This window comes from Homo sapiens, chromosome 17 (assembly GCF_000001405.40).
Source record: "Homo sapiens chromosome 17, GRCh38.p14 Primary Assembly".
Classification (NCBI taxonomy): Eukaryota; Metazoa; Chordata; class Mammalia; order Primates; family Hominidae; genus Homo; species Homo sapiens.
This window is the reverse complement of record NC_000017.11, coordinates 3,460,563-3,484,729: the sequence shown is the minus strand read 5'-3', so window position 1 is coordinate 3,484,729 and position 24,167 is coordinate 3,460,563. Positions and strand designations below refer to the sequence as shown.

Here is a 24,167-nt window from a genome sequence, read left to right as displayed (position 1 = left end):
GTGTTTAGAAACTTTTATAGCAATTTGACATTGCTAAAATATTCAAGTATGTGATCGTTTTTCTAGAAATCCATTTTTAAATTACATTTTACAAAAGTATTGCTCTATAGCAGATTGGAAATCAGCAATGGCCTTTCATCACAGATAATTTCAAGACACTTGTCTAGAATCCTGTTGACTGCTCTCAATTTTTTTCCTTTCCTCCCCCAAACACATACACATACACAACCTCAAGATGGATCCCACTTCTTTGGGCCTTCTGTGATCCATCAAGACTGGGTTAGGTCTTTCCTGCTCTTCCAGTCTCCTGTAATTGCCCCTATTTAGCATTTATCACTCTGTGCAGTGATTACCTGGTTACCTGTCTGTTTTCTCATCACATACGAAGCTGTTTGAGGGGAGACTGTGTGTCTTGCTCATTGTTCTGTCCCCCGCACCTAGCACAGGGTTGGTCTCTGGTAGGCACACTATAAATATTAGTCAAATGTACACATTTCTGGAGTAATTAATGCTATAGAGGAGGGTCAGGGAAAGTTCTATAGGAGGTGACAGGTGAACTGAATCTTGAGAATGAGAAGAATTGTGCCAGACTAAATAGAAGGGCCAAGCATTACAGCAAAGGGAACATGAACAAAACCAGAAAGCTGCTCAGTGAAATTGGGGAAATTCGGTACAATTAGAGCCTGCCTGGAGCTAAATTGCTTGTTACTTGACAATTATAAGCCTAAGGATATGGAAGGTAGCTGTAAATGTTTTTTTAAAAATAATTTTCTCGGCCAGGCAGTGACTCATGCCTGTAATCCCAGCACTTTGGGAGGCTGAGGCAGGTGCATCACCTGAGGTCAGGAGTTTGAGGCCAGCCCTGGCTAACATGGTGAAACTCCGTCTGTACTAAAAATACAAAAATTACAGGGTGGCACATGCCTGTAATCCCAGCTACTAGGGAGCTTGAGGCAGGAGAATCACTTGAACCAGAGAGGTAGAGGTTGCAGTGAGCTGAGATCACACCATCGGACTCCAGCCTGGGTGACAGAGCAAGACTCTGTCTCAAAAATAAAATAAGATAAAAAATAAATTTCTCTGAGTTTCAGCTAGGACATATTTTATTGAGTTATGACAGTGGGAACTATGACTTACCCACAGGATACTTGGCTATGGAACGAGTGGTCGCATATTTGAGGGAAGGATGCTCAATCAGATAAACGTAGCAGGGTAGTGGAGCCAGAGAAGTCTGAAAAAAATCAAAAACGTCTTTCTTAGGTAAAAACCGTATGTTTTGTTCTCTTTGCTTCAACAGAGTCAATAATACCTTCAATACGTTTTACTTCATCAACTAAGATTGGTAAGACAGCTTTATGAAATACTTTAAAACCCAATGGTATTATAGCTTTGAAAACATACAAATAAATTATACAATATGAAATTCATATACAATTGAATTATACAGTGTCTTTCCAGGTAAAATATACATTAAATAGTTCTCCAGAACCATGATCAAAAAACATGAAATAAATGTTCTTTCTTAATGGATGTGGTGATTTTTGTTTCATCACTGGTTACACTAACTATTTAGCTTGGTATTGGTCTCTTAAACAATTCTGTTTCTATTCCTGTGGTCCAGCTCTCTACAGATGTTGGGTGATTCCCCCTCCTCCTGCTTATCTGCATGAAAATTGAAGACAGGCCTCTTGGTTTGGATAACAAAGTGTCAGCAATTCTGCTTCCATATCTGGCAACCAAAGCATTCCGCTCTCTCTTCAATAGGCAATGAAGAATTGGGGTGGGGGGAGGGGGGAGGGATAGCATTAGGAGATATACCTAATGCTAAATGACGAGTTAATGGGTGCGGCACACCAACATGGCACATGTATACATATGTAACAAACCTGCACATGGTGCACATGTACCCTAAAACTTAAAGTATAATAGTAATAAAATTTAAAAAAAATTAAAAAAAAAAAGAATCGCTACATTATGATCTCCTACCAGGACCACTACCCAGTTACTGTCCAAAACTGAAGGGAAACAAAAATAATAATCTTTACTATAGGCCAGGTATGAGGCTAAATGTTTTAAATACTTTATGTCATTTAAGGCTTTGAGTACCCTTATGGGTAAGTGTTGTTTGTTATGACACCAATTTTATAAAATGAAGGAGGCAAGGTTTTGGGAATGGTGTGTTTTGTCTAAGGTTAGTGAAGGAGAAAGTCAGGATCTGAGCACAGGCCACACTCTTTCCTCTCAATCATCCTTGCTCTCAGGAAGGAAGGCTATCTAGTACACAGAAATAAGCATACAGTTCCTTATGTGTGTTTCTGGTTGGTTGCTATTTTCTAGCAAATTTTCTCTGAGATTTCTGAGCCTTAAAATGATTATGAAGTACTGAAAGATTAGACGTATTCTGGGGTGTCTAAATCAAATGGGGACGAGGGCAGGACTAAAGGGAGGCAATCTTTTTATCACTGGGCTTTAGTCTACGTTAAAGGACTATTTCTTAAGTTTCCTAAAACCTTGTAATTGAGATCCCATACCATTTAAAGTTTTAATATTAATTTTACTTGGTTTTAACAAATTGACCATACCATTTAAACTTTTAATATTAATTTTACTTGGTTTTAACAAATACCCCACCATCTGGTGGCTGTCTGGATAAAACGTGTAATTTTATAGACACAAGAATCCACAAGTGTTTTATTACTTTATTAATTGTGTTTATTATTTTACTTATTTCCTCTCTTTTTCTCCTTCCTCTCACCACTGCCTCTGTGTTCTGGTAGCACCCTTTCCCCCCAACCACCAAGCCTGGCTATGGAATAAACCCCATTTCTCTTGCACCTTCCCTCATAACTGTTTTCTGATTGTCTCACATCCATAATTGACTTAAAAGTACAAGTCCTTTGCTAACTTATAAATTAATAACATTAACATTACCTTAATGTAATGAAACATCTGAATTAAAAAGTTATTCCTGGAATCCTCAAGAATAAGAGTGCACCCCATGTTAGAGGTGGTGTTGTGAAGGTCAAAAATAATGTCATAGGAATCTTCACTGTCTTTTGGACCAAATAAATGATTTATTTCTTGAGCCCTTCTCACTTCATATGGCAAATCTTCTGACATTTTTTTGCTGTTATAAGCAGAAAGAAAAAGATGAACAACATCTGTGCCTGAGATAATATAAACATATAATAAGAACACAGTGTAAAAAGAACCAGTCGCCAAATCTTTAATATGAAAAATCTGTGTGGTAAGTAAAAACTTACCTGAAATGTTTATATATGAAAACTTACATTCTTTTTCTTCATTTGATTCCATATAACTAATGTTGCATTGGCATGCTTGCGAAGTAATACGTGCATTTATGTGGCTGGTCATGAATAGGACATATCAAACAGAATTTATCATTTGATTTCAATCTTGAACGCAACATATCCATTAATTTAATGAACAGTTTCTTAGTAGTTATGGTACACTGGGTTATTTATTATGGGACTAGACCATCAAATGCATCTTTTTTTCCCCCACTTTAGCTAATTCTAGTGCACAAATATAGTCACTTAGGGGCTCACATAATCTAATTAGAGATCATTTTAATTTTTAATTTTTTGAGACAGGATTCTGCTCTGTTGCCCAGGCTGGAGTGCAGTGGCCCAATTATGGATCACTGTACCCTCAAACTCCTGGGCTCAAGCAATCTTCCCATCTCAGCCTCCTGAGTAGCTGCTGAAACTACAGGTGCGTGCCACCATGCCCAGCTAATCTTCTTATCTTTTGTGGAGATACAGTCTTGCTCTGTTGCCCAGGCTGGTCTTGAACTAAAACTGCCTTTGCAAAAATTATAACTGAGACAATTATTACAATGAAAGAGATCTAACCTGACTCCATCTTGCTTCTAATCTCCAAGCTATCCTTGTTCATGCCTGGGTGTAAACTGAACTAACTTTGGGAGGAACTTACAGCTTAACTTTGAAACAAAGATGATAACAGCCCTTTCCCAAAACAAGCCCCCTTCCTACCTGGGGACTAGACTGCCTTTGCAGGACTAACAAATTAGCCACAAGATGAGAAATTATGGTTTAGGAGTCATGCAGCTGGAGGGCCGCAAGATTCTGAACCTCCTGAAATTGCTCCTGGGGATAACATCACTATTGTAAAACCTAAGATCAGGGCTTGAGATATTTTGTAAACCCTGAGTTGACAGATCAGCTGGCACCACCCAGATGGATAAACTGGCTTATCTGGTCTCGTGGTCCCCACGTAGGAACTGATTCAGCGCAAGAGGACAGCTCCAACTCCCTATGATTTTACCTTCAATCTGATCAATCAGCACTCCCGACTCACTGGCCCCCTACCCACCAAATTATCCTTAAAAATTCCAGTGTCTGAATTTTCGGGGAGACTGATTTGAGTAATAATAAAACTCTGGCCTTCTGTACAGCCGGCTCTGTGTGAATTAAACTCTTTATTGCAGTTCCCTTGTCTTGATAAATCAGCTCTGTCTGGGCAGCGGATGAGGAGAACTTGCTGGGTGGTTACAGAAGTCTTGGCCTCAGGCAATCCTCCTGCCTTGGCCTCCCAAAGTGCTGGAATTACAAGTATGAGCAGCCACACCTGGCCTAATTAGAGATTCTTAATTGAGGTCCAGGAACCACTAGAGGTCCAGGGACAGAGTTTTCAGAGTCTAACCTCTCCAAAAAGGCCACAAGTTTGCAGGTACAGATATATGTATTTTTTTTCTGGCACAAGGGCCAGTAGTTTTTCTTCCATTCTCAAATGGGCCTCTACCCTCTCCCCACTTCCCACAATGGTTAAGATACATTTTTTTTCTAGATATAATAATGTTTTTCATTTACTTTTCCTCATTAAACCGTTCAACCACATTTTCCTAAAATTCCATCTATTTGTATTCCTTGGTTATTTTTGCTAGTATCTTCAAGGGACCTACTGTGTACAATGGGCTAATTCCTGCCTGGAATGAGATCAGGAAGGTGGAGTAGTTATTTTGTGACTTTGAAGCAAAAACCATGAGGACAAAGCCGGCATCTTGAGATAGTGCACTGGGAAGGTAGAAGGGACCACGTCGAGTCGGTGCAGGGGGAAGGTGGAAAGGGCCACGTTGAGATGGTGCAGTGGGAAGGTGGAAGGGGCCATGTTGAGACAGTGCTGTGGGAAGGTAGAAGGAGCCTGTGGCATTGATGATATCATGTGGCCGCTCCATCAGCCCTGGACAGCCTACTTCTGGACTTATTATTTGTGAACAAGAAACCCTTATTTGTTTAAACCACTATTCTTAGGTTCCTATTGTATGCAAACCAAGCCTAATGGATATTTATACATTTTAAAAGTTAATTCATGAAATAACCCCCTGAGGTCGCGCCCGACAATTTTGGTTCTATATCATTCTTCCGCATTTGAGTAAATGGTGCTAGTATCTACCCAGTTGCTCAGAGTCAAGTCTGGAAGTTTTCAAAAAGATGGACACTTTTGAGTTCTCATGCCTGCAGTTGAGCTCCCATTGGAAGAGTCCCAAGGGATGAAGAATAGGGAAGAGTGAGATTCTGAAGGGCATTAGCCATACTAAGTTGATTAAATCTATTCTGGATACATTTTTAAAGAATTTTCAGCAGGGGAGAGACATGATAAGATTTGCATATTAGGATGATTCCTAGAGGTATCAGATGGAAAATAGATGACAGGAAGGGTCAGAGCAAGTCTGGATGCAGAGAGACCCTTTAGGAGGCTATTCTAACTGTCCACAGAGGAAATCAACTAAGGTAGTAAAACTGGAGAGGAAGGCTGGATTTGTGAAGTACTTGCAAGGAATAATTGGGAGGACTTAGTGACCCACTAGACGTGGGAGACAAAGGACTGGGAAGGTTCTAGGGTGATTTTCACAGGGGACTTGGTGGATAATGATGCCACCACTGAGATGAGGAATATAGGAAAATGAATAAATTTGGGAGAGGCAGGATGGGAGAAGTTAATTAGTTTATCTATTTTATAATTTTTCAACCACGCTGGGAACAGTCTAGTCTCTGAACAGTGTTAACAGTAAGGAGCAGAAAGTGAATTTAAGTGAAAAGACTGTGCTCACTGAAATGCATACTACTGGGTGCTCATAAACTCACCCCAGTCCATTTCACACCTATTTGGGAAGTTAATATGCCGACTAAAAGTTATCCTTCAACAAATTCTTACTTGTAATATAGAAGTTAGTTAACAGCTCTCTTAGGTCAATAGATAAGCATGAATTGTGTTGACATAACCTCAGTCATGAAGATAAAGCATTTCTCAAATTAAAATTTATGCTAGTAAAAATATGATTTGATACAAACAGGATGACTGCAGTATAATTGCCCTGAAAAACATCTATTCCATAAAGTGAGGCATGTTTCTATTAAGAGTAGTGTCCATGTTTTGATCTGTGTTGAGACTAAACCTAAGGAGTGATCTAACTCAAATTAGAGTTGATCAGAAAACAAGCACATAGAACAGTGGCTAGTTGTGCCTGTGCATATCTTATATATATATATATTTTTTTTTTTGAGACGGAGTCTCGCTCTGTCACCCAGGCTGGAGTGCAGTGGCACCATCTCTGCTCACTGCAAGCTCCGCCTCCCAGGTTCACGCCATTCTCCTGCCTCAGTCTCCCGAATAGCTGGGACTACAGGTGCCCGCCACCATGCCCGGCTAATTTTTTGTATTTTTTTTAGTAGAGACGGGGTTTTACCGTGTTAGCCAGGATGGTCTTGATCTCCTGACCTCATGATCTGCCTGCCTCAGCCTCCCAAAGTGTTGGGATTACAGGTGTGAGCCACTGTGCCCGGCCATGTATCTTATATCTTAGCTAGTAGTCTACCAACTCCTTGAGGGGTAGAAACCAAGTTGTATAGAGCTGTGTACTCCCCCAGTACCTGGCACAGTTTCCTGAGAAAAACAGATGTTTCAGAATATTTTTTAGTAAAAGAAAAAAAGCGGCCCAGCGCGGTGGCTCATGCCTATAATCCCAGCACTTTGGGAGGCTGAGGCAGGCAGATCACCTGAGGCCAGGAGTTTGAGACCAGCCTGGCCAACATGGAGAAACCCCGTCTCTACTAAAAATACAAAAAATTACCCGGACATGGTGGCAAGTGCCTGTAATCCCAGCTACTCGGGAGGTTGAGGCAGGAGAATCACTTTAACCCGGAGGTGGAGGCTGCAGTGAGCTGAGATTGCACCATTGCACTCCAGACTGGGCAACAAGAGCGAAACTCCATCTCAAAAAGAGAAAGAAAGAAAGAAGTGGTAAAAAGCAAATATGTGGAGTCATATTATATCCACAGTGGTAGCTATTATGATGTAAACGAAGGCAAAAATAATTAATAAGGACCTAACCTAGCATGTTATGACTGCTTACGTTGTATGCAATATATTACAAATCAGCAAAATATAAGCTCTGAAAATTCAGATGGTGTCTTTAGTTCTCATCTCTGGTATCCCATCTACAACAATCCACCATGGAAGTTAAGTACGTCTGCTACTTCGGATCACAGGGAGGTCTGATGTCTTTATTTTTATTTATTTATTTATTTTTTTGAGACGGAGTCTTGCTCTGTCTCCCAGGCTGGAGTGCAGTGGCACAATCTTGGCTCACTGCAAGCTCCGCCTCCCGGGTTCACGCCATTCTCCTGCCTCAGCCTCCCAAGTAGCTGGGACTACAGGCACCCGCCACTACGCCCGGCTAATTTTTTGTATTTTTAGTAGAGATGGGGTTTCACTGCATTAGCCAGGATGGTCTCGATCTCCTGACCTCGTGATCCGCCTGCCTCGGCCTCCCAAAGTGTCTGATGTCTTCTGACAAAAGATATTTAATCACGCTTTCATTCAACAAATATTACTTGAAACATTACATTTTTTGAACTAGAACTTTATGCATTACCGTAAGCATAGTTGCTTGAAAACGTAGTGAATTTCCTAAAAAGCTAACAATTTTATATGCAAGCATAGTGGCCAAACACTAACTCAATGCAAAGGAGTATTAAATCTGTTTCTTTAAAGGTATGATTTTAAAACAAAACCCTTTTCTATTTATTGTCTCAGTCTGTATACATTTGAAAAGAAAACTTAATAATCTGGTGCTTAAGAAGGTTTATAAAAGAGCATGTGAATGCCCAGTTTAGATAATTGTGCAATTCACAATGCAGTATAATTAAAAGTGAAAGTGATCTTATTCAACATACGACTGCATGTACGGACATGAATTATCATCTGCATATACATATATGTGTTCTCTTTCACACACCTACCACTTTTCACACAACATACATACATATACAATACAAAGCATAGTCTTACCCAAGATTTTCAAGGTCAAAAATGCGATTCAGGTCACAGTCAATATATCTGGTACACTTCTTCACTGCTCTGGGGTTAGTAATAAATGGTTTTACCTCCAGCCCTGTTCTCTGAATCTCAGCGCCATTCTCTAGCCAATGCTTAACCAGAAATACTCCGGTTAGCTCATTCCCATGGGTTCCTCCAAAGATAGCAACCTTTTGTATATGTTCTTCAGCAATGTGACAAGAAGTCATTTCACCAAGTAGTTTTTATCTGATTTCTGCAATTCAGAAGAGAGATCAAAGGAAATTCGATTTTCTTAAGAAAGGTTTAGAAATGTAAATGAGACTTTACCCAAAGGGCAAAGTACAGAATTCCCTTGAGTGGAGTATATTTTAATTTTCTGTTACAAGTTCTGAGCCCCGTTTATGGACACTCCCTTCTTTAGCCCTGCCCTTTGCCATATTTGGATTAAAATATGCAAAGATCAACTAGAGATACAGCTGTTTACTTTAACTTCTAACTCCCTCAGATGGTCAGTAGATCTAAATACAGTAATAAATTAGCATTTCATACTAATACAAAAATTCCATTCTTTTCCTCAGCTAGGATGTCATCCAGTGAGGCTTTCACAATTATCTGTAATAATAAAAATAGTTTATACGTTTCTAATTTCACAAAATAAAAAAGTGGCCCACTCAGTATTTCCACGGGCATTTCAAAACATTTCTTCTCTGAAATGAGTTCAAGCACTTTTCATGATCTGAGGGCATTTGAATCTCACCTCTATAAACAGCCAAAGGCTGACCCTCAGAGACCTCCTCTTGAACCGGCGCCCATTCTTTCAGAATGCTTTTTCACAATCAGAAACAGAAGGGCCAAATCAATGATCACTTGGGACTCGAAAAGCTACCCTGAAACATCCCTTCATTTCTTTCTCATGAGGTTTTTGGTAATTCTGTGTTAACTTACTTATGAATCTTCCTCATTTTTTGCCTAAATACCAAAGGAAAGACAACTGTTAGTACTTTTCAAGTTTTTGTGATGCCTGAAAATGTCTTGGGACACACTGCATGTGCTAACCACATCATGTGAACTTACATAGACACAGCCTTATTCACTGTCAGCGGGGACTCTCCACTGGACTGTGTTACTCAAAAAGGGGTCTTATTAGGGGAAATTTTCCAGAATACTAAGATGATTACATCCCTTTGGAGAAATGACTCTGAGCCAAATCTGATTTGATTTCATGCTCAGTCACCCAGAAAGTCACATATGTTCAAGTACTGGGAATACCATGTACTAGTAACGCCAGGTTGTTTGATAGAGGGTACAATAAGAGTAATTTATTACAATTGCAGAGTTTAATTTATAATGTCCTTTCACTCAGTTTATTCATACATTAATTTTATACGATAGGGTGGGTTAGGTGTTGACATCCCCACTGCAGGGGTAAACGAAAGAGAGGTTAAGTAACTCAGTTAAGGTTCTGCAGGGATGTAGGAGAACCTAGGCCTGAGACCCATGTTTCTCATCCCAAGTCTAGTGTTTTTCACAGGACAATAGGGTGCCTCTCTGTTATTTTTGGTCTTCTTCACAGTTCTAGTTTTGCTCTTTCAGAATTCACATAAACAGCCATTACAGTGTGCTCAGGAAACAAACATGCATACAAACCAAATACATGGTGGAAAAATAAAATATGAATGCTTCCTAATATTTAATAAACCCACTGAATGTTCTTCCTTTAAGAGCTTATAATGCAGAGATAGAGAAAGCAAAATAACCACATCAAATCTATGCATTAAAATGACTGTTCTAATAGAAAAAAAAAGCTCCTGTAGGCTTTGACTGTCTGTCCACATCCATGTACACTGAACACTTCAGACGGTGTAGAGATGATGAAAACACACGTAAAAGTAAACAGATGACAGTTGTTTAGTTGCTTTGGTTTTAAGAGCAGTAACCATGGTGAATTATTAACACTCTACTATGCTTGGTTTCTTTTCTGCTGATTTGTAGTTTGTTCTGTCCTTTGCCCTAGTCTCTCTGGAAATGCTGCTTCAGTTATTTACTCGTAGCTGGCACAAATGACTTGCATTTTGAAGCTTGTTTTATGGAATTTTAACAGATCAGCACTTTGAAGCACATTTCACATTCATAAATAAAGTTTCTCTTACATGTCAAAATGAATAACTTTTTTGAGAGTTAATGAATTGCAGCAATTATTTCCCATACTTACCTTGTTTTTTGTGTACAGAGTTTGTCTTCTGTGGAAAGCTTTATTAGGAAAAAGGAGAGCATTTCCTCAGAAGTAGAGCAACAGAGGCTTTTCATACTCTTATACCAAGTTAACTTCCGAAAGATTTTTAACTCCCTGTTTCCCAAAGTGTACTTGATTTTTGGGATGACCCAAAAAACCACACTTTTTTATTAGTTCTCAGCGAACTGATAGTATACGAAGTGAAACCCTTTCGAATTGTCACTATCTCATTATTAAGTTGAATATATAATATTCTGAAGTACTTAAAAGAGTAAGCATAACTTCCAGCATTACAAATGTTTTGTGGGATAGAGTTGCCTGATGTATTAATAAAATAATGTAGTTTAAAACAAAAGGATGCCAGGTGTGGTCTCATGCTTGTAATCCCAGCACTTTGGGAGGCCGAGGTGGGCGGATCACCTAAGGTCAGGAGTTCGAGACCATCCTGGCCAACATGGTGAAACCCCGTCTCTACTAAAAATACAAAATTACCTGGGCGTGGTGGCGGGTGCCTGTAATCCTAGTTACTCAGGAGGCTGAGGCAGGAGAATCACTTGAACCTAGAAGGCGGAGGTTGCAGTGAGCTGAGATTGTGCCATTGCACTCCAACCTGGGGAACAAGAGCGAAACTCCGTCTCAAAAACAAAACAAAACAAAACAAAAGGAGAGCAGAGTTTTACTTCACAGTCATGGCTGTCCAGTAGATCCCTGCCAGAAATTTTGTAGGAGACAAATTTAAGGTGGGTTGTTTCCCAAATGGTATGACTGGGGGATAAGAAGGGTTTTTTGTTAAATATTATACATAAGATGTCTCATACATAATGTGATGTTCAGTAGTTATGTAATCAAACTACTTTTACTACTTTAGTTTTCTCCTTCCCTGTGATCCATCCTGACCAACTTTCCAGGTGGAAATAAATAAGCAGAAAAAGACAAGTATAAAACAGATTAAGTTTATAAACTGCTAGCAAATATTCTATATTGCTCATGTCTGCAGTCCCTACAGAAGTAATCGGCTTAAGGTGGTTTTTTTTTTTTTTTTTTAATGAAAAATCTATTTTTGGGGTGGGTGGGTGTGTGTTGTAAATGTATGCACATCCGTATGTAGATATCAAGTCAAAATCTGCTTCCCTGAAGCTTCTATTCATGTTTTGGGTAACTCCTCTCTGGAACCATGATAAATAACAAGTTTTATTTTTATTGTTCAAGTCTTCTTCTTCCCAAAATAAAAGATGGCCCTATTCCTTGAAAGCTGTTCCTTACTCTGGCATTCAAGGTCTGCTATTATCTGGTCTCAGTCTACATCTAATATTATTTTCTAACACTCTTCTTTACTTGAGATAGTTTTAAAGCAACTACTAAAATGTCTGTGGTCTTATAGGCCTAGGCCTTTACTAACAATCTTCCTTTCATCTCTAAGCCCTTCCCTATCCCAGTCTTCAAATGGTTAGAAGATACGGTAACAACAAAACATGGGCTTTGAACTCAGACAGCTCTAGAATCCACTACCTGGCCCATAGTAAGTTCCGGATAAATGGCAGCTACTGTTACTCAAATTAAATAAGGGCTAACAGTTACTGGGCATTTACTGTGTGCCAGGATTGTCTATTTCATCTTCTAGTATTTTTAGGGCGATTGTTGTTATTGTTCTTTTACTGGTAGGTCCAGAGGGTGTTCAGTAAGTAACTTGCCCAAGGTCACAGGGCCAGGAATCCACAGTCCTCTTTGCCAGGAAGCCTGGAGCTCAACGCCCAGGGTCGCACACCACGCGGCTTCCCCTGCAGAGCGTCTCTGCGGCTCACGGGCGCTTCCCTCCCGCAAGCTCCCGCAGCCCCGGCGCTGCCTCGCTGACGGCTCTCCGCCTTCCATGGCCGCCATCTGAACCTGGGCTTCAGCTCTGTCCCCAGCCTCCCGGGGACTCAGATTCCCTGACCCTGATCCGACCCAGAAATTGAGCCAGACACCTCGGGTGGCCTTCGAGTCAATCTCTGGGCACACTCTGGGTGGCCACCAGCATCTAACAAACGGATGTCTGGACCCTAAGGGCCAGGGGGTGAGGGGAAGTGGGGCACACTTTTTAGACGATGGTGGGGCTGAGGCCGGTTGGGCAGGAGATCTGCCTCTGTCTCTCCAGTCACAGGACAGTCTCCTTTCCTCTCTGGGCAAAACTCTAAGGAGCTGGAGCCATCCCTGGGTCCACAGTGTGAGAACGCCAAGGAAGAGCGTTAACGTCATCGCGCCCGGCCAAGGGCGGCCAGGCAGGCAGCGAAGATGCCATCGCGCCGAGGTGGCGGCCACTGCGCCTGCGCGGTCCACGGCGCCTGCGAACAGCCTGATTCCCGCGCTTTCTTCGCGGGCGGGAAGGGCGGCGGTTGCTGACGGGGCCGCCTGGACGACGGTTGACGGAGGCGAGGGAAACTGAGGGCGAAAGTTGTGTGTCGTGTTGGCAGGAGGGCCTAGAAGGGAAAGACTGTGCGTTGATACCAAACTGCCCCCACTCCGTGGGCGGGTCAGGAGAGGCCTTTGGAAGAGCGTCTCAACTCGGACTGGAGCCTCTTCTCTCCCACCGCGGTCAGGAGCCAAAACAGGCCGCCATTTGAGGCCGTGGTTTTTGTGGGTGGTGTGTGTGTGTGTGCGTGCAGATTGAGCACACTTTTTGCACACCAATGCCACCAACCCCATTACTAACGCCACTTAGGTCCATTTGGGAGCTGGGATTGGGGGTAAATGAGGGTCCCCGCCCTCAGGATCAATGGTCCCGCGGGTGGAATGTTACACTTAAAAATTTTGTTGTTGTTTATTCTGTTTGTTTGATCCTGAGAAACATAATAGCCCTCGTAAGCCCCTCTAAATATAGGATGTGAGTTGCGCCGGTGGAGAAAGTGGCAGAATCCCTGTTGTGGCTCCTAGGATGGCGCCAAGAATATTTTCCTTTCCTTTCCTTTCCCTTCCTTCCTTCCTTCCCTTCCCTCCCTCCCTTCCTCCCTCTCTCCATTTTTTCCCTAGAGTCTCGCTCTGTCGCCCAGGCTGGAGTGCAGTGGCGTGATCTCGGCTCACTGCAACCTCCGCCTCCCGGGTTCAAGTGATTCTCCTGTCTCAGCCTCCAGGGTAGCTGGGATTACAGGCACGCACCACCATGCCCGGCTAATTTTTGTATTTTTAGTAGAGACGGGGTTTCACGTTGTTGGTCAGGCTGGTCTTGAACTCCCGACCTCAGGTGACCCACTTGCCTTGGCCTCCCGAAGTGCTGGGATCACAGGCATGAGCCACTGCACCTGGCCACCAGGAATATTTTCTAAAGGGTCCATCTCTTCTACCCAGCTTCAAGCCTAAGATGTGGAAACAAAACAGAGGCAGCACCTGACCTCGTGTTTCCCAAGTTGTTTTTTTTTCTTTTTTTTTTGAGACGGAGTCTCGCTCTGTCGCCCAGGCTGGAGTGCAGCGGCACGATCTCCGCTCACTGCAACCTCCGCCTCCCGAGTTCATGCCATTCTCCTGCCTCAGCCTCACGAGTAGCTGGGACCACAGGTGCCTGCCACCACGCCCGGCTAATTTTTTTGTATTTTTTAGTAGAGACGGGGTTTCCCTCTGTTAGCCAGGATGGTCTTGATCTCCTGATCTCGTGATCCGCCCGTCTCGGCCTCCCAAAGTGCTGGGATTACAGGCGTGAGCCACTGCACCCGGCCTGTTTCCCAAGTTTTATTTTTACAAACGATATTTGAAAGTTAACACCTCGGCCTGACTTGCATTATTGCTTAGTTGTGTATGTGTCGGTCTGTCTGTCTCATTGGGTTGTGAATTTGGAACAGAAGTTACCTGGTTTGGGTTTGTATCTTGCCTCTTCTTGCAGTGGGCAAGTGTTCGTTGTATTAGATTGGGGATGAAATGTGTTAAGGGGCTAAACGTGCAAAATTACAAGAGAAATTCTATTGTAAAAGAAGAAAACTAAGGAAAAACTTGTTTCACTTGTTGAAGTTGTGGAAATGGAGTGGAAACTTGTCATTACAATTATTCTAGATATGAAGGGAGGACTTAGTCTTTTTTTTTTTTTTTTTTTTTTGAGATGGAGTCTGGGTCTTGTTGCCCAGGCTGGAGTGCAGTGGCACGATCTCAGCTCACTGCAACCTCGGCCTCTCGGGCTCAAGCGATTCTCCTGCCTCGGCCTCCCGAGTAGCTGGGATTACAGGCGCCCGCCACCACTCCTGGCTAATTTTGTATTTTTAGTAGAGATGGGCTTTTGCCATGTTGGCCAGGCTGGTCTTGAACTCCTGACCTCAGGAAGACTTAGTCTTTGATATTATATAATCCAGGCATTTCAAACTGATGCAAAGGCAGATGTCCTGCACAATGCCTTAAAGTGGGGCATGGAGGAAGTTCCCGGTGGCTAAATACTGTGTTTCCTCCTTGGCCTTGGAAGCATGTACGTTTGCCAACGCTGTGGTCCATTTTCCTCTTTGTAGGTGTGGTTCAGAATTCTCTTTGTGGGTGCGGGATTCTGAAATAAATTACATATACTGTGTGAAAAAATGCACATATGTTTACGAAGCAAGGTTACAGTTGCCCTAGTCATAACTTAATTTGAACAGGGTTGGAAAAGTGGATTATGGTGTAAACTCTTAGAAAGCAAAGGACTCCCTAAAGTGTTTACGTGATCAGGTTTGAAAGTAGTTTACAACCATAATTTCAGTAATCACTGGGCTGAGGATTGGGTTTTATAGTTGAGACAATACGAGTTATAAGTTTCTTTCTTTGCAGGTCTAGTGGGACAATGTCATATTATAAATTTGGAATGCTGAATAGAAAATTATAGATTTTGATATTGAAGGAAATGAAGCGAAGCCTAAATGAAAATTCAGCTCGAAGTACAGCAGGTATTGAACAACTTTTTATTTTTAAATTTTCTGTATAGCATATAAAGCTTGTATAGTTTATAGATATAACATTGGAAATAAATTTAAAATAGATTGAACAGTTAATCTAGCCTCTTTACTTTTTAGGTCCAAGGAAGTAAAATAACTTACTCAAGACAAAACATTTAGTGGTAGAGGTGGGAGTAAGATCAAAGTTTCTTAGATTTATTTTGATATTCTTTCTACAAATTCGATGTGCTTGAGTTATTCTATGCTTTAAAACTGAAAACAAAGAAATAGATCTATTTTTGTTTGTATTTGTGACTTACTTGTTAAAAATATTTCCGGAAGCACTTCTGTCTTTCTAATAGCTTCTCCTATCATTTTTGCTTTCCCAATTTATTAGTATAAAGACAGATGGCAAGGATGATGAGAACCAGGGGAATGATGATGCATAATGAAGATAATAGTAACTATTATTTATGGTGGATTAACTGTATTCAAGACATTAATTATATATATTAATTTATTTAATCTTTACACCAATACCCTGAGATAGGTTATTATAATCATTTCTGTTGTTCAGATGAGAAAAACAAGGCTAAAAGAGGTTAAATAAGTAATCCATGAAGTAGCAGAATCAGAATTTGAACCTAGGAATCTGGCTCTTAGTCCATGCTCTTAATCATTATGCTATCAGTATATGTCATATTGGCACAAAGAGTTTAGGGAAATTGCCCAAGATCATACTCTGAAATTGTAATTCAAACCTACTTTGAAGTCATAATTCAAGACCTAGGCGGTCTGATTCCAGAGCCCACATAATTCTCCCAGCCTTTCATCAGAGACTGTTCACAGAGTCTGTATTTGCCTGTAGAACAATTGATGATGACCAGTTAGAGAATGGTACAGTGGCAAGAGATCCAAACTGATATTTAGGAATCTTGTGTCCTATCTAGATTCTTCCACTGACTTGCTCTATAGCAATGCACAAGCTTTTTGAACTTCTTTTCCCTTCGAGTTCCCTAAGTTTCAAAGTTTATATTTTGTGACTTTTGACCTGAATTGAGATCCTAGATCCGCCATCTGGAGGAATCGGTAGTAGTATTTATTCTCATTTGGACTGGATATTATTACTCTTTAAGGCATTCTCAAAATGATCCACAAAATATATAATTACAGATACCCGAGGTGCTTGTTAAAATTGCAGAGTTTTGAGTTCCAGGCTAAATCTGTTGAAATAAAATCTATGAGAGTGGAGTCTAGGAACTGCACATTAAGCAGAATTCCAGATAAATCTTAGTCCAATGAAACTTTGAGAACCAAGGCCCAAAAGGGTGTGCCACTATTGTCCAAAGCATGGTTCAGAGTTTGGTTCTTCCTCACCTCTGTTGTACTTCAAAGGTCCCCTGCAGTCGATATGGTAACAGGCAAGCACAGGAGGGGGATAAGGAAAACAAAAAGTGGATTTGGAAAGGTTGGGGGATGAGGGGGGAGATGGGAATTACTTCCATATGGGAGGAATTAAAACTGTTAGAGTAGAATAAGAAAAGTTTTTTGAAGAAACAAATTAGGCTATTCAGGATCTTAAAAAGAATGTAAAAATCATTCTAAGGTTATAGAAATCTATAAGTATATTAGCATATAGAAGTAGATAAATGTAAAGTGTGTATTATACTAGTAATTATTTTACAACTAGATCTGCTTATTTGTCTATTATGTACTAATTTATTGGTACATTCAATTTAGGCTGTTTGCCTGTTCCGTTGTTCAATCAGAAAAAGAGGAACAGACAGCCATTAACTTCTAATCCACTTAAAGATGATTCAGGTATCAGTACCCCTTCTGACAATTATGATTTTCCTCCTCTACCTACAGGTAAGAAAATTAATAAGGTAAAAATTTTCAGGAAATACAAAACTAGGATTATAGAAAATTGTAATTTATATTATAATGAAAATAGAAAGTTTATTTTTTCTTCTTTCCATTATCCACATATAGAAATTACATAGCACTTTCTGAACATTCCAGGTCAGGAGTTTAAGTTTCCTTATCTACAAGGGTGGCTTAGCATTTAAATGGAGTATCTTAGATTTGGAGTCTTTGTTCTAATAAAGTAGTAACATATATTGTAAAAAATATTTTTTCTTTGTCAAAATTCACGTGGATATTGTGTTATAGCCTATACATTTGGTGGTAAAGAATGGAAACACTTGAATTGCCTCAGGAGTGGGGATAAGTGTGCATGGGAACACAGGAAAAATGGGAAAAAAAAGATAGATTTTAGGAAGTGCAGATGCCTGGAAGTATCTGGTGCCTGGCCGTAGTCTTTTTCTCTTTTTATGGCATTTTTGCCTTCATTGATTTGTTAGCTGTTTATGGTCCAAATGTGATCCCCCCCAATTTATATGTTGAAACTTAATTGCTGGTGTGATAGTATTAAGATGTGGGGCCTTCAGGAGGTAATTAAGTCATGAGGGCAGAGCCCTCATGAATGAGATTAGTGACTTTATAAAAGGTATGAGGGAGCTTTTCCGTCCTTCTGTCATGTGAGGACACAGTAAGAAGCCTTGACTTCCCAGCCTCCAAAACTGAGAAATACATTTATCATATTTGTAAATAACCCGTTCTAAAGTATTTTGTTATAGTAGAGTCCAAAGGGACTAAGACACACCTTCATCCAGTTGGCTTCCTTACAGCTTCAACTGGCACATGAGCTAAGTTGCCCTTCCTGTGAGTTTGCATAACCTTTTAGTTCTAGTTCTCAGAGGTCACCAGTAGACTGCCCTCTGGATCTCTTAATTCACATCCTAGAGACAGCTTGTGATTCAGCTCATCTTTTAAGTAAGGCCACTGAAATCCTGGCTTAGGTTTGGGTTAGGCCTCTTACCTCTGAACCAGTTAGCTGAGGTTTGGTGGGTGCTGGGAGGTCTTAATGGTTGTTGTTGACTTTTTACTTTCCTCTGGAAGAGGAATGGGCAGGCAGACATTCTGAAGTATACGTGGTACATGCTGGTTATATACATTTACATTTTGGGGGCACATTTTAAAAATTAATAGGATCTTATATAGCTAGAATTTAAAAATATCTCTGATGTAGCAATACTTGTATTGTTAATTTCATCTAGTGTGCTCCCATAGACTTTAATATACTTCTAAATCTGTATTTTGTTTAAAGAAAACAAAATATATAAAAGATATATTTGAAGAAATTTAAGTGTGAAGTTCATATATTTCCAATTTTTGTGTATAAAAATCATAAATTCACATGGATATGCACAACTGGGCATTTATCTGGTCATACTCCACCATTTAAAAAACATTCCGTCATTTAAAATATTTTTATAAGTAGCATGAATGTTGACCTTGAAAAATTGAGCTACTCCATAAGGAAATGTGTGTCCTCCTGAAGTACTTCAAGCTCGGACCAGGGTTACTATTTGTCAGAAATAGTAGTTTTCCTGTATTGGGTAAGAGATAGGACTGCATCAGTGTTGTTTTTTTTTGTTTTTTAAATTTTTATTTTTATTGATCATTCTTGGGTGTTTCTCACAGAGGGGGATTTGGCAGGGTCATAGGACAATAGTGGAGGGAAGGTCAGCAGATAAACAAGTGAACAAAGGTCTCTGGTTTTCCTAGGCAGAGGACCCTGCGGCCTTCCGCAGTGTTTGTGTCCCTGGGTACTTGAGATTAGGGAGTGGTGATGACTCTTAACGAGCATGCTGCCTTCAAGCATCTGTTTAACAAAGCACATCTTGCACTGCCCTTAATCCATTTAACCCTGAGTGGACACAGCACATGTTTGAGAGAGCACAGGGTTGGGGGGTAAGGTCACAGATCAACAGGATCCCAAGGCAGAAGAATTTTTCTTAGTACAGAACAAAATGAAAAGTCTCCCATGTCTACTTCTTTCTACACTGACACGGCAACCATCCGATTTCTCAATCTTTTCCCCACCTTTCCCCGCTTTCTATTCCACAAAACCGCCATTGTCATCATGGCCCGTTCTCAATGAGCTGTTGGGCACACCTCCCAGACGGGGTGGTGGCCGGGCAGAGGGGCTCCTCACTTCCCAGTAGGGGCGGCCGGGCAGAGGCGCCCCTCACCTCCTGGACGAGGCGGCTGGCCGGGCGGGGGGCTGACCCCCCCACCTCCCTCCCGGACGGGGTGGCTGCCGGGCGGAGACGCTCCTCACTTCCCAGACGGGGTGGCTGCCGGGTGGAGGGGCTGACCCCCCACCTCCCTCCCGGACGGGGCGGCTGGCCGGGCTGGGGGCTGACCCCCCCACCTCCCTCCCGGACGGAGCGGCTGGCCGGGCAGAGGGGCTCCTCACTTCCCAGTAGGGGCGGCTGGGCAGAGGCGCCCCTCACCTCCCAGACCGGGCGGCTGGCCGGGTGGGGGGCTGACCCCCCCCCACCCCCCTCCCAGACGGGGTGGCTGCCGGGCGGAGACGCTCCTCACTTCCCAGACGGGGTGGCTGCCGGGCGGAGGGGCTCCTCACTTCTCAGACGGGGCGGCTGCCGGGCGGAGGGGCTCCTCACTTCTCAGACGGGGCGGTTGCCGGGCGGAGGGTCTCCTCCCTTCTCAGATGGGGCGGCTGGGCAGAGACGCTCCTCACCTCCCAGACGGGGTCGCGGCCGGGCAGAGGCGCTCCTCACATCCCAGATGGGGCGGCGGGGCAAAGGTGCTCCCCACATCTCAGACGATGGGCGGCCCGGCAGAGACGCTCCTCACTTCCTAGATGGGATGGCGGCCGGGAAGAGGCGCTTCTCACTTCCTAGATGGGACGGCGGCCGGGCAGAGACACTCCTCACTTTCCAGACTGGGCAGCCAGGCAGAGGGGCTCCTCACATCCCAGACGATGGGCGGCCAGGCAGAGACGCTCCTCACTTCCCAGACGGGGTGGCGGCCGGGCAGAGGCTGCACTCTGGGCACTTTGGGAGGCCAAGGCAGGCGGCTGGGAGGTGGAGGTTGTAGCGAGCCGAGATCACGCCACTGCACTCCAGCCTGGGCACCATTGAGCACTGAGTGAACCAGACACCGTCTGCAATCCCGGCACCTCCGGAGGCCGAGGCTGGCGGATCACTCGCGGTTAGGAGCTGGAGACCAGCCCGGCCAACACAGCGAAACCCGTCTCCACCAAAAAAATACGAAAACCAGTCAGGCGTGGCGGCGCGCGCCTGCAATCGCAGGCACTCGGCAGGGTGAGGCAGGAGAATCAGGCAGGGAGGTTGCAGTGAGCCGAGATGGCAGCAGTACAGTCCAGCTTCGGCTTGGCATGAGAGGGAGACCGTGGAAACAGAGGGAGAGGGAGACCGTGGGGAGAGGGAGAGGGAGAGGCAGAGGGAGAGGCAGAGGGAGAGGGAGAGGGAGAGGGAGAGGGAGAGGGAGAGGATCAGTGTTTTTTTAAAATGTTTGTCTTGATCCATTAATCAGTCTGAGGTATAATCGATCTTTGAAAAAAGAAATAGAAGAGAATAGAGTAGAATAGAAAATACAGCCATGCACTGCATAACCATGTTTTGGTCAATCACACCACCTGTGTGATGGTGGTGCCATTACAAATATAATGGAGCTGAAACATTTCTGTCTCCTGGTGACATAGTAGCTGTCATAATGTCATAGCACAGTTTATTTTTTTTTATAAATGTAGCCTAAATGTATGGTGTGTTTAGTGTACAGTAGTGTATACAGTAATGTCCTAGGCCTTCGTATTCACTCACCACTTAATCACTAACTCACCCAAAGCAACTTTCAGTCCTGCAAGCTCCATTTATGGTAAGTGCCCTCTTAGGTGTATTGGTTTTTATCTTTTATATTATATTTTTACTGTACCTTTTCTATGTTTAGATATGTTTAGATACACAAATACTATTATGTTACAATTGCCTGTGGTATTGAGTACAGTAACATGTTGCACAAGTTTGTAGCCTAGGAACAATAGGCTGTAACATATAGCCTAGGTGTGTAGCAAGCTGTACTCTCCAGCTTTGTGTAAGTACACTCTATGTTGTTTGCACAACAAACTCACCTAACAATGCATTTCTTAGACTGTATCCCTGTCATTAAGTGACACATGACTGTGTCAGTGTGTATCACACATATTAAGGATAAGATTTGATGAAGTTTTATATTCTTTTTTCTCCTCTCTATCTCTGTCTCACACATATATCATGCATGTATATGTTCTGAGTTATGATGTATTTCTTTCTGTGGGTGAGATTTTAAAAGTTCAGTAAACATTGGATTAGATGAAATTCATGTTACAAAGTTAAAGATACTATACTAGAACTGATTGTAGAAAAGATACAGATTAAATTATCTTTGCTTAAAATACAATGGATAAGAAAGACATCTATAAAAATTAATAAAGCAGGCTGTGACAGGTTTTCCAACAAGTACTGTTGAAGAAATCCATATATTCAAGTTTTTTCTTCTTCAAGTTTTTAAACCCTCCAAATTAAATAAGTATGAATTTATCATTTTGAAAAATACTACCTATCTTACTTTTATCTATGTTACTTATATCTTTTGAGATTGGGCCTGGGAAGCTGTGAATCCAGAGTTGGCTCCTGTAATGAAAACAGTGGACACCGGGTATGTGGAGAAATATAAACCATTGGATGTGTGTCTGTTACTAACTGATGTTGTTCTTCTACGTATATCTTAATTTCTCAATTTGAAAGCAAACTATTAATATTTAACAAGACATATTCCCTTGAAAGGCAAATACCACATTCAGTTTCTCGTCCTCTGAGAAGTCAAGATTCTGTCTTTAACTCTATTCAATCAAATACTGGAAGAAGCCAGGGTGGTTGGAGGTGAGTCTACTTAAAATTTCTTTCTTCTTCTATTCCTTCTCATTTTCCTGTCTTCCTCTTCATTCTTCCCTCCTCCTTCACTTCGTTGTTTCTCAGACAGAATTACATTTAGGAAATTTCTATAAATAACAACTATGGCAGTATTAATTATGTTTTATGAAAGAGCTTAAGAGAACATGCATGTAAAACTTAAAAAATATGTAAATTTCACAGTGATTATGCTTCAAAAGATTCTTAATATGACAATGAAATTTCTGCCAATATTCATTGCTATGAATTTATGATTTTGCTTATGGGTTATTAATGATTTAATTGACAATAGACAGGAATCATATCTTAGTATTGATTATATTTAGGACTTGAGAACCAATTAGAGTGCTCAGTCTTATCCTGTAAGACAGCCGGCTTCAAGGTAAACGGAATGGCAGAAGAAAGAAAAATGGAGGCTGTGATGCATATGCATCTGCAATAGTAGGGGCTCAAGAAATGAAGAAGCTGGTCAAAAAGATGGTGAGGGTTCTTGCCATAAGGACCAAAGCTTAATGTTTAAATAGTATGAAAAAATTGATAGAAAAAGAACATGGATTTCTCTTGGTTGGATTTTAGTAGCCTTGGATAAATGGCAATATAGAAGGAAATGATTTTGGAAACAAAGTGCTGGGAAAACAACACCAAATCAGTCACTGTTAAGTGCTTTGATATGTTATTTCAATAATCCTTACAACAACCATATGAAGTTAATACTATTCTCATTTTTATTATATAAAGATATCGTATTTTTTTAAAAGGGGGAACTTTTTATATAGTTGTTAATAAATACATTGAAATAATATCTTTATTTAAAAATTAGTTTTGATTTTATTATTCATGCTAGTTTCCCCAGGACCAGTCTGTCAGTTTCTTCATAACAAGGCCTTAAAACTAGGCCTGTTCAGTGGTTTGGGATGGTTCTTAGAGACATTGTTCCAACTGCAGGAGCTAGAAGAAAATCCATTCTGACAAGCATTAGACAGATAATTAGGTAAACAGATTGTAATCTGGACAGGCAGCCAGTATTGGATATTACAATTTGAATTAATACATGAGCTGTCAGACTGTTGGAATACAACAGGAAATCCAGGAGTACAGAACATTTAAAAATCCATGCAGGCAGTTGGTAATCTGCTGAAGATCTTTTGAACCAGTTAAAGGACTAATCTTCAGGTTTAGAGTCCAGGCTACAGTTGCCAGATTTAGCAAATAAAAATAAAGGATGCCCAGTTAAATCTGAATTTCAGGTAATCAGGAATTTTTTAGTATGTGTCACAGCCAATATTTGGGACATACTTATACCAAAAATTTGTTACTTACTTGAAATGCAAATTTAACTGGCCATCCTGTATTGTTTCTAGCAGCCTAGTCTATACTTTCTTGGGGCATGGAGTTTTCAAGAGCAAAGTACACTCCTATTCTTATAGATACTGTGTTATTAGATACATTATCAATATAGATTTCATTCACCAGTATTAGGATATGGACAATTAGTAAGATTAGTAAGGATGAGCTTCTTTGCCAAAGCCCCTACAATTGGCTTTAGACTCTGAGGAGACATTGAGCTTGTACTTTTAGTAGTTAAGACATCTCAGTTGAGGAGTTGAGGTGATATGAGGACTTTTAACATTTTTAATCTTTTTTTTTTTTTTTTTTTTTTGAGACTGGATCTTGCCATGTTGCCCAGGCTGGAGTGCAGTGGCATGATCATAGCTCATTGCAACCTTGAACTCCTGGGCTTAAACAATCCTCCTACCTCAGCCTCCTGAGTAGGCGGGACTGACTATAGGTTTGCACCACCATGCCTGGCTTATTTTTACATTTTTAGTAGAGATGAGGCCTTGCTGTGTTGCCCAGGCTGGTCTTGAACTCCTGGGCTCAAGTGATTCC

General features: G+C 41.5%; 2 protein-coding genes across 11 annotated transcripts in view, besides 1 other annotated feature; one reads left to right on the top strand and one right to left on the bottom strand.

Annotated features, from left to right (window-relative positions):
- Positions 1-10,620, bottom strand: part of ASPA (aspartoacylase) — a 29,296-nt gene extending 18,676 nt beyond the window's left edge. The window contains exons 1-5 of one of the 3 annotated variants that reach the window (XM_017024661.2): positions 10,556-10,620; positions 9,101-9,312; positions 8,335-8,596; positions 2,932-3,127; positions 1,138-1,231 (exon numbers count right to left, since the gene is read on the bottom strand). In XM_017024661.2, coding sequence (XP_016880150.1) covers positions 1,138-1,231; positions 2,932-3,127; positions 8,335-8,570 — 526 coding nt within the window. In that variant the 5' untranslated portion in view covers positions 8,571-8,596; positions 9,101-9,312; positions 10,556-10,620. 3 annotated transcript variants of the gene reach the window in all.
- The window catches only part of SPATA22 (spermatogenesis associated 22), a 73,840-nt gene that overhangs the window by 29,129 nt on the left and 20,544 nt on the right, over positions 1-24,167 (top strand). Inside the window, exons 1-5 of one of the 8 annotated variants that reach the window (NM_001170695.2) lie at positions 12,911-12,984; positions 15,332-15,447; positions 17,176-17,304; positions 21,963-22,023; positions 22,152-22,247. In NM_001170695.2, the coding sequence (NP_001164166.1) occupies positions 15,405-15,447; positions 17,176-17,304; positions 21,963-22,023; positions 22,152-22,247 (329 nt within the window). In that variant the 5' untranslated portion in view covers positions 12,911-12,984; positions 15,332-15,404. Of the gene's footprint in view, positions 1-12,910; positions 13,300-15,331; positions 15,448-17,175; positions 17,305-21,962; positions 22,024-22,151; positions 22,248-24,167 lie in introns of those variants that run through there. The other 7 variants (NM_001170697.2, NM_001170698.2, NM_032598.5 and 4 more) reach the window with 7 other exon arrangements.
- Positions 1,441-1,986: an enhancer, noted in NCBI's record as "OCT4-NANOG hESC enhancer chr17:3386038-3386583 (GRCh37/hg19 assembly coordinates)". NCBI's record gives its function as "activates a minimal SCP1, AML or CMV promoter by ChIP-STARR-seq in primed H9 embryonic stem cells {active_cell/tissue: H9 hESC(primed)}" and the evidence as "EXISTENCE:reporter gene assay evidence [ECO:0000049][PMID:30033119]".